At 42.6% G+C, this 14,038-nt stretch overlaps 2 long non-coding RNA genes across 4 annotated transcripts in view; one reads left to right on the top strand and one right to left on the bottom strand.

Annotated features, from left to right (window-relative positions):
- FKBP1A-SDCBP2 (FKBP1A-SDCBP2 readthrough (NMD candidate)) overlaps positions 1-14,038 on the bottom strand; it is an 83,264-nt gene that overhangs the window by 44,654 nt on the left and 24,572 nt on the right. The gene's annotated exons all lie outside the window — the stretch shown is intronic.
- The window catches only part of SDCBP2-AS1 (SDCBP2 antisense RNA 1), a 53,393-nt gene that overhangs the window by 29,220 nt on the left and 10,135 nt on the right, over positions 1-14,038 (top strand). The gene's annotated exons all lie outside the window — the stretch shown is intronic.

Raw genomic sequence — 14,038 nt, forward strand, 5'->3', positions numbered from 1 at the left:
TACCACCTATGTTCATTCAAGACCCAAGGGCTCTTCAGTCAGCTTATGGTGAATGCTTGTAGTCCTGATTCTCTCCTTTCAGGGCAGTGGGCTTACCTCTGGCCCAGTACAGGTCCAGAAATGCCATCCAGGAGCCAAGACCTGGAATCGGGGCCCCAGAGTCCCACTTGGTACTCGGTACTCTACCCAACTGTGGCCAAGCTGGTACCCAAGCTGCAAGACAAAGTCCCCTTTACTCTTCCCTCTCCTTTCCTTAGGCAGAAGGGGTCTCTCCCTGAGGCCACCGTAGCTGGGAATGTACTGGGTCACACATGAAGCCAGTGTGGCTCTGAGTCTCACCCAAGGCCTGCGGCCAGTACTACTTGGCTAACACTGCTGATTATTCAAGGCCAAAGGGCCCTTTAGTCAGCAGGTGATGAATTTTGCCAGAACTGGGTCCTTCTGTTCTGGCAGTAGGTTCCTTTCTGGTAAGTTTAGAAATGTCATCCAGAAGCTAGAGCCTGGAACGAGTGCCTCAGACCTCTGCTTAGTGTCCTATTCTACTGTGGCTGAGCTAGTATCCAATTTGCCAAAAAAAAAGCCCTGTTTACTCTTCTCCTCCTCTCCTCAAGCAGAGGGAAAGAGTCTTTCCTGGAGCTGTAAGCTGTGCTGCCTGGAGTTGGGGGAGAGATGACACAAGCACTCCCTTGATCACCCCAGCTGGTGTCTCACTAGGTCACATGCCTCCCAAGTACACTGGCTCCGAACACAGCATAGCACCAGGACTTGCCCAGGAATTGCAGTCCTTCTGGTCCAGACGGCCTTCCAAATTTATTTAGGACCCCAGAGCACTTTAGCCCACTTTGGCGGGGTTTGCCAGAACTCACGTTCTGACTGCTGGGATGGATGATTTGCCCCTGGCTAGGACATGGGCACTCGCGAAGTTCTGCCCCGTTGCTTTCCACTGTGAGAGGGCGGCACTGAGTTCCATTGCAGTGTCCCACAATCACTGTGCTCTCTTCCAGAAGTGCACATATTCTCTCTCCATACCACACTCAGTGCCTCTTTCTTTAATATGATTTTAATATCAAGTACTGTAATCACTTGTCTGATTTTTGGCTCCTATGAAGGTGCTTTTTTGTGTGGATCATTGTGCAATTTGGTGTTCTTGCAGGGTAGACAATTGCTGGAGGCTTCTTTTCAGCCATCTTGCTCCACCTCCTCCTGATTTGCTAGTATTTTATTGAGGAGTTGTACATCTGTGTTCCTGAGAGATTGGTTTTTAATTTTCCTTTATTATAATATCTTAATCTCGTTTCGGTATTAGGGTAGTGCTGGCCTCATAGGATGAGTTAAGAAGTATTCCCTCTGCTTCCGTTTTCTGGAAGAAATTGCAGAGAATTGATACTATTTATTCCTTAAACATTTGGTTTCACCAGTGAAACCAGTGAAACCATCTGGGTCTTGTACTTTCTTTTTTTGGAAGGTTACTAATTATTAATTCAGTATAAAACCAGCCTTGCATTTTAAGAATGAGTGAGAGGCATACAGTTTAATTCCATCACAACTGATCAGAAAACATACTTCACATAACTTCAATTATTTTAAATTTGTTAAAGTTTGTTTTATGTCCCAGGATATGGTCTATCTTGGTAAATGTTCCATGTGCACTTGAAAAAAAAATGTGTATTCTGCTGCTGTTGGATGGAATGTTCTAGAAATGTCACTTAAATGTTGTTGCTCATGTTGTTAATTTCTTCTAATCTTTGATGATTTTTTTTTTTTTGTCTAATGGTTCTATCAGTTAGTGATAGAAGGATGTTGAAGTCCACGCTGTAATTGTGGATTTATCTATTTCTTCTTTCAATTCTGTCAGTTTTCACATTATTTTATAACTTTGTTGTTCAGTGCATACTATTTTAGGGTTGTTGAGTCCTCTTGGCTTGGGGTTTGCTCATTTTCTTAAATCTGAAGATTTACACCTTCCACCAAATTTGGGGAGTTTTCAGCTATGATTTCTTTAAGTATATTTTCAGCACTGCACTCTTTCTCTTGTCCTTATGGAACTTCAATAGCTCTAAAGAGTATTTAGATCTTGGAGTATTTTCCCATAGGTCCTTAAAGTCCTATTCATTTTTAAAAAATCTATTGTCTTTTTTTTCCTCTGTTCAGACTGTGTAACTTTTATTGGTTTGTCTTCAAGTTCAATGTTTCTTTCCTCTGTCATCTCCACTCTGCCATTGTGTCCATCCAATGAGTTTGTTTCTGTTATTGTGTATATATATATATTTTTAAGTTCTAAAACTTCCATCTGGGGCTGGGTGTGGTGGCTCATGCCTGTAATCCCAGCACTTTGGGAGGCTGAGGCGGGCAGATCACTTTAGTCCGTGAGTTTCAGACCAGCCTGGGCAACATGGCGAAACTCCATCTCTATAAAAAATACAAAAAATTAGCTGCGCATGAAGGCATGTGCCTGTAGTCCCAGCTATTCACGATGCTGAGGTGGAAGGATCGCTTGAGCCCAAGAGGTGGAGCTTGCAGGTGAGCTGAGATCACGCCACAGCGCTCCAGCCTGGGTGACAGAGACAAACCCTGTCTCAAAAGAAATAAGTTAATAAATAAAAAATAAAATAGGCTGGGCACAGTGGCTCACACCTGTAATCCCAGCGCTTTGGGAGGCTGAGGCAGGCAGACTGCTTGAGCACAAGAGTTTGAGAGCAGCCTGGGCAATGTAGTGAGACCCTGTCTCTATTTTTTTAAAAATGATTTAAAATAAAATAAATCTTCCATTTGGGGTTTCTTTTTCTTTTTTTTTCTTTTTTTAAGATGGAGTTTCACTCTTTGTTGTCCAGGCTGGAGTGCAATGGCACAATCTTGACTCACCACAACCTCCGCCTCCCGGGTTTAAGCGATTCTCCTGCCTCAGCCTCCCAAGAAGCTGGGATTACAGGTGCACGCCACCACGCCCAGCTAATTTTGTATTTTTAGCACAGACGGGGTTTCTCCATGTTGGTCAGGCTGGTCTCAAACTCCTGACCTCAGGTGATCCGCCCACCTTGGGCTCCCAAAATGCTGGGATTACAGGCATGAGCCACCGCACCCGGCTGGGGTTTCTTTGTATCTTTTATTTATTGAACCTTTGTTTTTTGAGTGTTCATAGTTTCTTGTTAAAAGTGTTTTTGTTTGTTTTTTAATGATAGCTGCTTTAAAAATCCTTGCCAGACAATCCCAACATCAGTACCATCTTGGTATTGGCATCTGTTGATTGCCTGTTCTCATTCTGGTTGACTTTTTCTGTTTTCTGACATGACAAGTAATATTCAATATTATCAGTACTTTGGGTATTATGAAACTCTGATTCCTTTTTATATTTTCTACTTTAGCATGCATTCAACCTGCTTCAATTCAGAATGCACATCATGACTCACTTCTGTGGTCTGTGAGTTTGAATGTCAGTTTGGTTTCAAATTCAGCGTTATCTTGGTCTGCTCTGCCTGTGTGCTACCCAGAGACCAGTGGATACCCAGAAACCCGAGTGGTATTCCACAGCATAGCTCAGTTCTTAAAGCTTTTGCTGTGTTAATTCTGATGAGTTTCACACATAGGCCACTTGGGGATGTGCACAAATTGAAAGACGCTTTTTCCGCAGCTCCCTCCTCTCTGTTATTCTGCCCACACTCTCTGTGAGGGGGTAGGTGCTGCCTCTGTTACTGCAGGACAGGTGGTAGTCAACAGGGCTCTACCCTAGAGTGTCCATAGCATCCCATGGGAAGAAGGAGGAGGGAGGGGGTGTCACCTCTTATCCCATTAGTGCAGGATGGGGCTCATTAATAGAGCTCCACTTGTCTCCAGAATCACTGGTGAGGAAGGGGAGTGTTGCCCCCACATTCGTGCACAGCAGGGATGGTTCACCGAACTCCACACCAGTCTCTGCAGAGCCTGTTGGGGAGAGGAGGGCTGTGGTTTCTTTGATGGTGTTCACCTGGAGTAGAGCAAGTATTGTCAAAAGGGTCATCCTCGGAGGTTGCAGTGAGCCGAGATCGCACCATTGCACTGCAGCCTGGGAGACAGAGCAAGACTCCATCTCAAAAAAAAAAAAAAAAAAAAAGGCCATCCTTCATTACTGTCCTCTTCTAGGTCCTTTGACTAGAGAAAGCATTTTCCTTAGGACTTTTGTTGTCTGTGCTTGTTGGTCATTTCAGATTGTGCCTTCCTCTAGTGCCCAGGTTGAAATACGTGAACACTACGAAAGCCTCTGGGAACTCCCTGCCAGGTCATCCCTTGAGACTTAAGTTTCCTTGCCAGTCTGCCTAGTTTACTTCACCTTTAGAGGTTTCTGATAGTTGCTTTATGTATTTTGTCTAGTTTTTAGTTGTAATTAGCAGAAGGAATAGGGTGGAGTCCACTTACTTTATCTTGTGTGAACATGGAAGCCCCATGTATTTTTTAAATAAACTTTTTGAGGTGTAATTTACATGAAATAAAATGTACCCATTTAAAGTATACATTTCCATGAGATTGACAAATGTGTATATCCATGTAACCCTAACCACAATCAAGATATAGAACACTCCCATTACCCCAAAAGGTTCCCTTTGTCTTCCTTCCTAGTCAGTTTCCTCCATCCTGAGCCTCAGACCTGGCCTGATTTCTGCCAGTGTAAGTTGAACTTGTCTTTTCTAGAGTTCCATATGAAGAAAATCACATAGAACGTAATGTTTGTAAAAGTCTGGGCCGGGCACGGTGGCTCACGCCTGTAATCCCAGCACTTTTGGAGGCCAAGGTGGGTGGATCACAAGGTCAGGAGATCGAGACCATCCTGGCCAACATGGTGAAACTCCATCTCTACTAAAAATACAAAAATTAGCTGGGCATGGTGGCACATGCCTGTAATCCCAGCTACTCAGGAGGCTGAGGCAGGAGAATCGCTTGAACCAGGGAGTCGGAGGTTGCAATGAGCCGAGATCGCGCCACAGCGCTCCAGCCTGGTGACAGAGTGAGCTTCCGTCTCAAAAAAAAAAAAAAGTCTGGTTCCTTTTACTTATTATAATATCTGTGAGATTCATCCATATTGTTGGCATTTCAGTAGTTCATTCCTTTTTATGTTTGTTTTTGCTTTCATTTGAATTGTCACTATCCTATGCTCTTGCCTGACAGACCCTGAGAGCCTACTGACCACAGCAGCTCCTGTTACCACGGCTGCCGTTTCTGCTCTCAATGCTACTGCTCATTGATCCCAGGGAGGAAAATTCTGGTGCATCACTTAGTATTTATTTCAGGTATGGTTAGGACATTTCAGAATAAAGGATGGCTTCTTCTGGATGTATCTGAATTGATCTGCTGTCATATACTTATGAATCACATGCTCAGACCAAAGTACATAAAAAAGTCATTCTCTTTCCAGACAATTTTAGGGGTTTGTAACCTTGGTCTTATATTGCTCCATGGCCTATGAATTAGTAACAGGACTAGTGAAATTCCTAGTAACATAGTCCTGTTACTACAAGATTACCCATATCCTTTGATGATCCATCTACTGCAAACTCATAGAATTTACTGGACAGTCTTCTTCATTTTATGTAAGAATGACCACTGTATCATCATATGTCAATGTCCTGCATAACTGTCACCACCCCTCCATGCCGAATACCTGGTAGCTTGTGATGAGTTGAGAACCTCACTAAACAGTCTTATCCACATCCTCAGGTTCTCTGAGGTTTTCCTTCTGTCCAGTCCATGCACTTGTACCCCTGGTGGTCGAAGTACAGTCACGCACTGCGTATGATGTTCTCATCAGTGGTGGGCTGCATACACAGCAGTGGTCCCATAAAACCATAATGAAGCTCAAAAATTCCTATTGCCAACTGGCATAACGTCATGTAGTGACACATGACCTTTTCTATGTTTAGATCTGTTCAGATACACAAATCCTTACCACTGTATTCCAATTGCCTGTAGTATTCAACAGTCACTGTACAAACCTGCTGTATAGTTTTGTAGCCTAGGAGCTACAGGTTGTACCGTATAGCCTAGGTGTGTGGTAGGTAGGCTATACTATACAGATTTGTGTAAGTATACTCTATGATGTTCACACAATGGTGAAATCTCCTAATGACACATTTCTCAGAATGTCTCCCCATCACTTTGGCCAGCTGACTCAGTTTGTGATGGCAATTGTGAGACCAGTTGAAGGGCGATCTGACCTGTATATTCTCTTGGTTAATTGTATTTACAAATTGGATACATGATTTCTCTGATTGCTCTCTTCACAAACTACATTTGAATATACAAATGAAGTGCTAAGTGGTTTTTATACAGGGAAACAAAGCCAGTTTTGTTTTCTACCAATGCAAGTTTGGATAAATTCTTTTCAAGAAGATGACTAAATATTTCCCATTTAGCAAAGTCCTCAGATAAAGAGATGCCAGGTATTTCTCGTTATGTTGGTTTCTGTATTACTATCTGTTCAGACACAAGCGTCCTTAAAAATGTGCTTAGTTGTAATTTCTTCATAGATTTCAACCAAAACAACATATTGCAAGATTGAATGCAGAAGTAGATGTGAGAACTCATTCTATTAAGCCAAGCGTAAATGTTTAAAAATGTAAAATAATACCACTCTTCTGATATGTTTTGGGAGAAAATATGTTTGTGGAAAATATACCTATCAAAGAAATATCAGAAACCTTCCAAACTGAAGGACATGTGTATCCAGATTAAAATGACCTTCCAAATGCTTAACATAGTAAACAAAAAACAGGAGGAAAAGGAGGGGAGAAAAGAAAAAAAGAAGACTCACACAAGGCCGTGTTACGACATTTCATCATACCATAGATAAATCAGATCCTGAAAGATTTCAGAAAGGAATATGAGATCACACATAAAGGAACAGGAATCAAAATGACATTACCCTTCTCAACAACACTGGAAGCTCCAAGAGAGTGCAGCAATGCTTTCATCCTCAGAGAAAATAATTATCAATACAAAATAATATTCCCAGCTAAGCTATCAATCATGAGGGTAGAAGAAAGGCATTTTTAGCCATTGCGTGGGAGTGCTATAATAATGGTCCCAGTGAACCACACCTCCCTGTATCCGCACCACTTTGCAATGAGAAATTTGCTGTTTCTCCTAGTGAGAGAGGGAGTCTATTTCTTTACCCTTGGGCCTGGGCTGGCCTGGTGACTTGTTTTGACCAATACATGGAAGAAGTGACATTATGTGAGTTCTGCAGCTGAAGCTTTAAGAGGCCTTGAAGTTTCTCCTCACCTTCTTGGAACCTTGAGACCACCATGCTGTGAGAAGCCTGGGCATATCTACTGGAGGCCGAGGGGCCACATGACACGTCTAAAACTCATACGTCAAGATATGGTAATATAATGTGAAATTCCTAGAGCAGCTTAATGCTAGTCTCTATTTGGCTACCTTTTTCTTTAGAATTGCTTATATAGTTAGTGTATGAGATTTTTTGTTATATTTTGCAAATATTTTCTCTCCATTATAGCTCATCATCTTTTAGCTTTGTTTATGGCATGTTTTTATGATAGAGAAGTTTCATTTTTTATTTTTAAGTGGTTACATCTATTAATAATTTCCTTTGTGTCTCTGAGGTTTTGTTGCTTAAGAAGGACTTCTCAAAGATTTAACCTTATTTTTTACTTAAAGAGCAAAAAAAAAAACAAAAAACAAAAAACAAAACACGATCACAATATAAGCCAGTATAAGCAACTGGTTCGTGCAGGATGGTGGTAGTTATCAAAGAGAGCGGGGGGTCTAAAGCTCTAAGGAGTCGTCTGGAGAAAGCCAGGCAGAGACTTGCTGCTTTTCTATTCTACTTCTTTCCCTTCTCATCCAGCTTGAAAGCTGCACCCATCAAGTGCGTCCTGAATCTGACGATTCACTATCTTCACTTCCGCCAGTCTGCTCCAGGCCTCCATCCTTTCTGGCCTAAATGAACCCCAAAGCTGGCTTGTGTCCTGCATCCATCCACCACTCTTGCCCTTGTTTCACTTATCTATTGCTGTGAAATAAACTTCAAAACCAAGTGATTCAGTCTCACAACTCTGGTTTTCCTGGGCTGAGTGGGGTGGTTCCTCTATTCATGTGATGTGGCTGGAGCTGTGGGCATTTGTGGGCTTGAATGGGCTGAGTGTTCACCGTGGTTCATTCACATGGTGGCAGCTGGCTAGGTTCTCAGCTAGGACGATGGCCTCTCCATGTAGCTTGGGCTCAGAGCTAGTGTTCTGAGAAGGAAGTAGAAGCTGGCAGTCCTATTGAGGCCTGGGCTTGAAGTCCCAGAACATCCTTTCCCACTGCCTTGTAATGATCAAAGTAGTCACAAGGCCAGCCTAGATTCAAGGGCTTGGAGGAATACTACCTTTCAGTCAATTTCCCAGTTTCCAGAGGATTTTAAAAAAACAAACGGCTCGACACAGTGGCATGTGCTACTCGGGAGGCTAAGGTGGGAGGATCGCTTGAGCCTGGGAGGTTGAGGTTGCCGTGAGCTGTGATTACACCACTGCACTCCAACCTGGGTGACAGATCAGACCTTGTCTCAAAACACTCTCCCCAAAACAAATAGACATAATTCTCCTGCTGGAATCCACTGCTCACTAGACTTACATTGTAATAGCCTGCCTCACCTGGCCCCTGCCTAACTCTGTCCCTCACACCTTTGCTCTGTCTCTAAAGGTCATACTGCTGTTTCCCCAGCACCCCAAACTCACCACCCTTCAGGGACTTAGCCTAGAACAATTTTCCTCCAGGACTTCACTTGGCCACTTCACTCCATTGCTTCCAGACGGCTGGCATTATTTGCCCATCTGTTTTGGGTCTCCTTCACTGGCATGAATGTAAGGTCCTTGCCAGCAGCACTTTTCTGTCCTATCCTACATTCACTCTTAGCATCTAGAATGGTGTTATCACAGGAAAGGCATAAAAGTATACTCTGTGGTTAACTGAATTTACTTGCCTAAATCTTGGGCATGTGATGCTTTGAGAAATATACAAATTAATGTTAAACAGAACCACAGTGGTCAGTAACAGGCACATCCAAGGATACACTAGTCCTGCATACATACCCACTGGCATGTTTCTACCTTCCTAATAAGAGCTGACAGCCGTTTTGCTGCATGCTGTACAGGACAGCTGCTGCTGCAAACTCAGCCTCTGATGGGCCCATAGTCGATGTGCCCACTGCATGCCTTGAACTCAGGGAATTCAGACGAAATCATCACACACTCCAGCCAGAAGCTAGAGGGCTGCCGGCCTTGACATTTTAATGCATTTTTGGTGTCAGCTGCCCTTCACTGATTCACTCAATTCTAGAGGTCTGAATGAGAATCCCTACACGCTTCTCAGGGGTTCTGAAGAAGCCAGTGTAGCCCAAGGTCATCAACCCAAGTGAACCCACATTTATCCAGGAAGCAAGAGGTGTGGCAAGGGCAGAATTCTAACAGACATCCATTCCACATGTGTCAGAGACAAAACTAAGTCCAAGATAAAATCGACAAAGGCTATTTATTCATAAACGTGCAGCAGGGGAACCCTTCTGCTGAAACCTTTGTTTTGGTAAGTGTTCAGAGGTGTTAAGACGTTATAGAGTAAAAAGGAGAAATACTGACAGTGTTGACTTGGCAAATGTCATATAAGGGTAGGATTTGTGGAAGCAAGCCAAGAGACAAAGTGGTCTTCAAGTACATTTGACTTGATTAGCTTCAAGGAGGCAGGTGAGCAGTCTGGGACCATTTCAAAAGAGGAAAGGGGCGGAGAGTTTTCTGTGGCCAGCCATTTCCTGGAAAAAGTGATGGTTGATGGGATGCTTTTTTGCAGTCTATCATCATGGTTCTTAGGGGTGTAAAAAGTAAAGTGAGGTTCCTCTTCAAAGACTTTCCTCCCTGTCTAATTAAGAATAAATAGTAACTTCTCTTAGGAGCAAAACTTATTCAAAGACCTGTGCTAACATTCTTAAATATCTGCTAGCCGTAATAAAGAAATCAATGTACTTTATGTTCTTAGCTCCCACAATTTAGCCTATTTGCCCTGGCAATGCTTATACTGGTCCAAGCAAGCATTAGGTCATAGCCTGTTCCTCTTCCTTATCTGAAGGTGTTTTTACGTTTCTCAGCATTCCACAAGTTACTTCCTCCTTCATTCTCCTCTGCCTTTGCCTCTTTTAAAAAGTTCTAAGTTGCTAGCCAATCAGGACAAATACAGAATGTGAGGTCCCGTTCCAGCCAATGGAAACTGGACACAGCAGTAAAGTGGACTTGTCAAGTTATAAATGACCCTGTCTCCTTTGTTCGGTGTTCTCTCGTGGCAAAACTGCTGGCGAGTGTACCCTTTCTGCAGAAAGTATAAAAATGACCTTGCTGAAGAAATTAATGTTCAAGTGCTATTTCTTTGCGGCACTGAAGAACAAGCATTTCAAACAGAGGGTAGGGTGGGGTGGTGGTGGTGGTGTTATGTGGTTGCCACAGCTAAGTTAAGTTTTTCACATGGATCATTAACTTTCAAATAATTAAAATTTTAGAGATGCAAGGTATCTTAAAGTTCATCTGGTCACTCTGACCACCCACATTCCCACTCTCATCCCAAGTTCATTTAATGGATGGAAAAACTCAAACAAAAGGTAGTTTGGCATCTAACCCTTAGCAAAGGTTAGATGTGGAATTAGAAGTTTTCCTGAATCCTAGGACTGTAGTATAACCATCATGCATTTCAAAAGTAAAACAAAAAAGGAAATTTAAAAAAAGAAAATACAGTAAGTAGCCACATAAACCGCTTCTAGCTGGGTCCACTGGTCCCCCTGCTTCTTGTTTATTAACGGAATCTGTTCAGGGGCTCTAGGGCTCAGAGCTTTAGGGGAGTCTGAGCCCTTCTCCAGCCCTGGGGTGATGGGTCTTGATTGATCCAGGTCAAATTCTCCACAGATTTAATTCTGGCCAATGAATATGAGAAGAAATGAGAAGGTGGAAAGGTGTCTTAGTCTACTTTTTGCTGCTATAATAAAAATACCAATACATGGGGTAAATTATAATGAAGAGAAATTTATCTCATGGAGTTCTGGAGGCTGGGGAGTCCCAAAATCAAGGTGTTGGCATCTGGTGAGGAGCTTCTTGCTGTCCACCCCATGGTGGAGGGTGGAAGGGCAGAAAGAGAGAGAGGGCTGGAGGCCAATAGGTGGCTGAACTCATTTTTTTATGAGGAACCCACTCCCATAATAACAGCATTAATCCACTCATGAGAGCAGAGCCCCCATGACCCAACCATTTCCCATTAGGTCCTACCTCCCCACACCCACTGCACTGGGGATCAAGTTTCCAACACATGGAACTTTGGGAGACACATTCACGACATAGCAGAGGACCACTGGAGAAAGGAAGGTTTTTAAAGATTTTTTTTAGGACACTATGGAAGTGATAGCCATTGGACATGGATGGTGTTTTTGTTTTTGGCATGGGAAAAGGCTTATACAACTCTGGTCAACTTGGCAACACTAATCAAAAGTCAAAATCTCCTTTGACCCTAGGGATCCCCTACTATTAACAGTATTATATCTTATAGAACCTAGGTATTTAGGAAAGAAAAAAATGTTCAAAGATGTATTGACATTTAATAAAAGCAAATAACTGGACATAACCCAGCTATCCAAATACAGGCTATCAGGAAACACTGTGAAGGACTTTGAAATAGGTCTTGCCCACTGCCCCCACCCCTGCCTCCAATTACTGAGTGTTCTGTCTAATCTAGCCCACCTTTCTGAGTTGATTCCCTTTCATTTCACTGCCTTTGAGCTACTTTACAATTACGTAAATTAAGGGAAACTGATAATGCAGATGATTCTTGTTCATAGAAATGCAAATTGTGACCAATGGAATATAACTGATTATTGTTCTGCAGGTATCAGCCAATTTTGCCAGTTTTGTAACTACGAAGCAAACTCATTTCAGCATTCCTGCTAGGCTTATAATTATTTGTTCTTTGGATTCTCCTTTGAGCCAATTAAAGTGTCCTACTGGTTCTCTCAATAATTAACAAGTTAAATACAATCATCTTTAACATGTTACTTTTATATTTGTATGAGTCATAATTTTAACTTCTAAAAAAATTATCCTTTAACAAGGTAGTTAAGTAAATTTAATGTTCATGTGGTATAATTTACTTAGCAGCCCTCTTAAAACAGTTATAAAAACCATATGGCAACAGGGACAAATACTCCTGATAAAAATGGCAAGTGGGGAAAAAAGCAGAAATGCAAAATTTGTACTACGTTGTGATTAAAGCTAAACGTTGTAAGTGCTTAGGGCAAGAAATAGGAAGGAGAAAAAAAATTGAAGTTGGATTTGTTTGTTAGGGTGGTAGGATCCTGGATTAAAAAAAAAAAACAAAACCCTGACATTATTCTGTTATACATTAAAAATAATATTGGCGGGCATGGTGGCTCACGCCTGTAATCCCAGCACTTTGGGAGGCCAAGGCAGGCGGATCACGAGGTCAGGAGATCGAGACCATCCTGCTAACACGGTGAAACCTCATCTCTACTTAAAATACAAAAAATTAGCCAGGCGTGGTGGCACGTGCCTGTAGTCCCAGCTACCAGGGAGGCTGAGGCAGGAGAATCACTTGAACCTGGGAGGCGGAGGTTGCAGTAAGCCGAGATCACGCTACCGCACTCCAGCCTGGGATACAGAGTGAGACTCCATCTCGGGAAAAAAAAAAAAAGTTGGCCCTGTATTAGTTTCCTATTGTTGCTGTTAACAAATGGTTTAAAGCAACACTAACTTATCACCTTAGTAATAAATTCTGCAGTTCTGGAGGTCAGAAGTCCAAAGTGGGCATCACAGGGCTAAAATTAAGGTATGGGTGGGGCTGTGTTCCTTTCAGGAGTCCTAGGGGAAAATCCGTTTCCTTGCCCTTTCCAGCGTCTAGAGGCTGCCAGCATTCCTTGGCTTGTTGCTCTCCTTCCTCCATCTTCAAAGCCAATAGCTTAGCATCCTCAAAAGTCTGTCCACCCTCACGTCGCCTTCACTGATGCTTATATGGATCCATGTGCTTACACTGCATCCGCCCAGGTAAATACAGATAATCCTCCTATCTCAGGGTCCTTACCTAACCACATCTGCAGAGTCCCTTTTGCCATGTAAGGTGACACATTCACAGGTCCTGGGGATTAGGATGTGGACATCTCTGAGGACTCCCATCCCCAATCCAGAGGATTTCCCTGAAATGCCAAGTTCAGTGAGAACAGCTTCCCATATGCCTGAGTGAAGGCACAATACTGACTGTGCGAAAGGACATAGTGTGGGACTCCATTTAAATTAAATGTCAGAACAGGCAACACTAGCCTATGGTGGAAAAGAATTACAATTACCACCTCCAAGGGCGGGGTGGGGTTGACTGGGGAAGGCCATATTGGAATTTTCTGGTATGGTGATGTTCTTTATCCTGGCAGGGGCACAAAAGTGTAAACAAACACTACTCTCTAGTCTAGTCAATGACACGTACTGGGGGAATTGTAGTGATGTCTGCCATTTACTCTGAAGAGACATAATGGATAGTTTGATGGACAGATGGATAGACAGGTGATATATAGATACAGTAACATGTTTATGATAGAATCTAGGTGGTGGGTATACAGGTGTTCATTTTAATCATCTTTGTGTTGTTTGAGAATTTTTATAAAAATGTTGGGGATGGTAAGATGTGACCCTGGAATATGACTCTGGCACTCTAAAAACCATAAATTAACAAAAAGAACTTAGAAAGCCATTAAGCAAGCTGTTGAATAATTTCCTTTTTAAAATCAATGGTTCTCAACCTGGGCAATTTTGGAAGGTGTCTAGAAAGGTGTGGGAGCATTCTTGACGGTCTCTAGAACTCTCAGTAAGGGCAAAGTGTTCCTGGCACCCAGGGCAGGGTCCAGAGAAGCTACTGCAACCACGCAGCCTCTCCACAGGACTGTCTTTCTACATTAAATGTTACTGAGGAATACCAATTTAAAATCAGAGTCTTCTCTTCGTATCTCATTAATTTGCTTGCAGTTGCTTGTAGCACATCT

Source organism: Homo sapiens, chromosome 20 (assembly GCF_000001405.40).
Source record: "Homo sapiens chromosome 20, GRCh38.p14 Primary Assembly".
Classification (NCBI taxonomy): domain Eukaryota; kingdom Metazoa; phylum Chordata; class Mammalia; order Primates; family Hominidae; genus Homo; species Homo sapiens.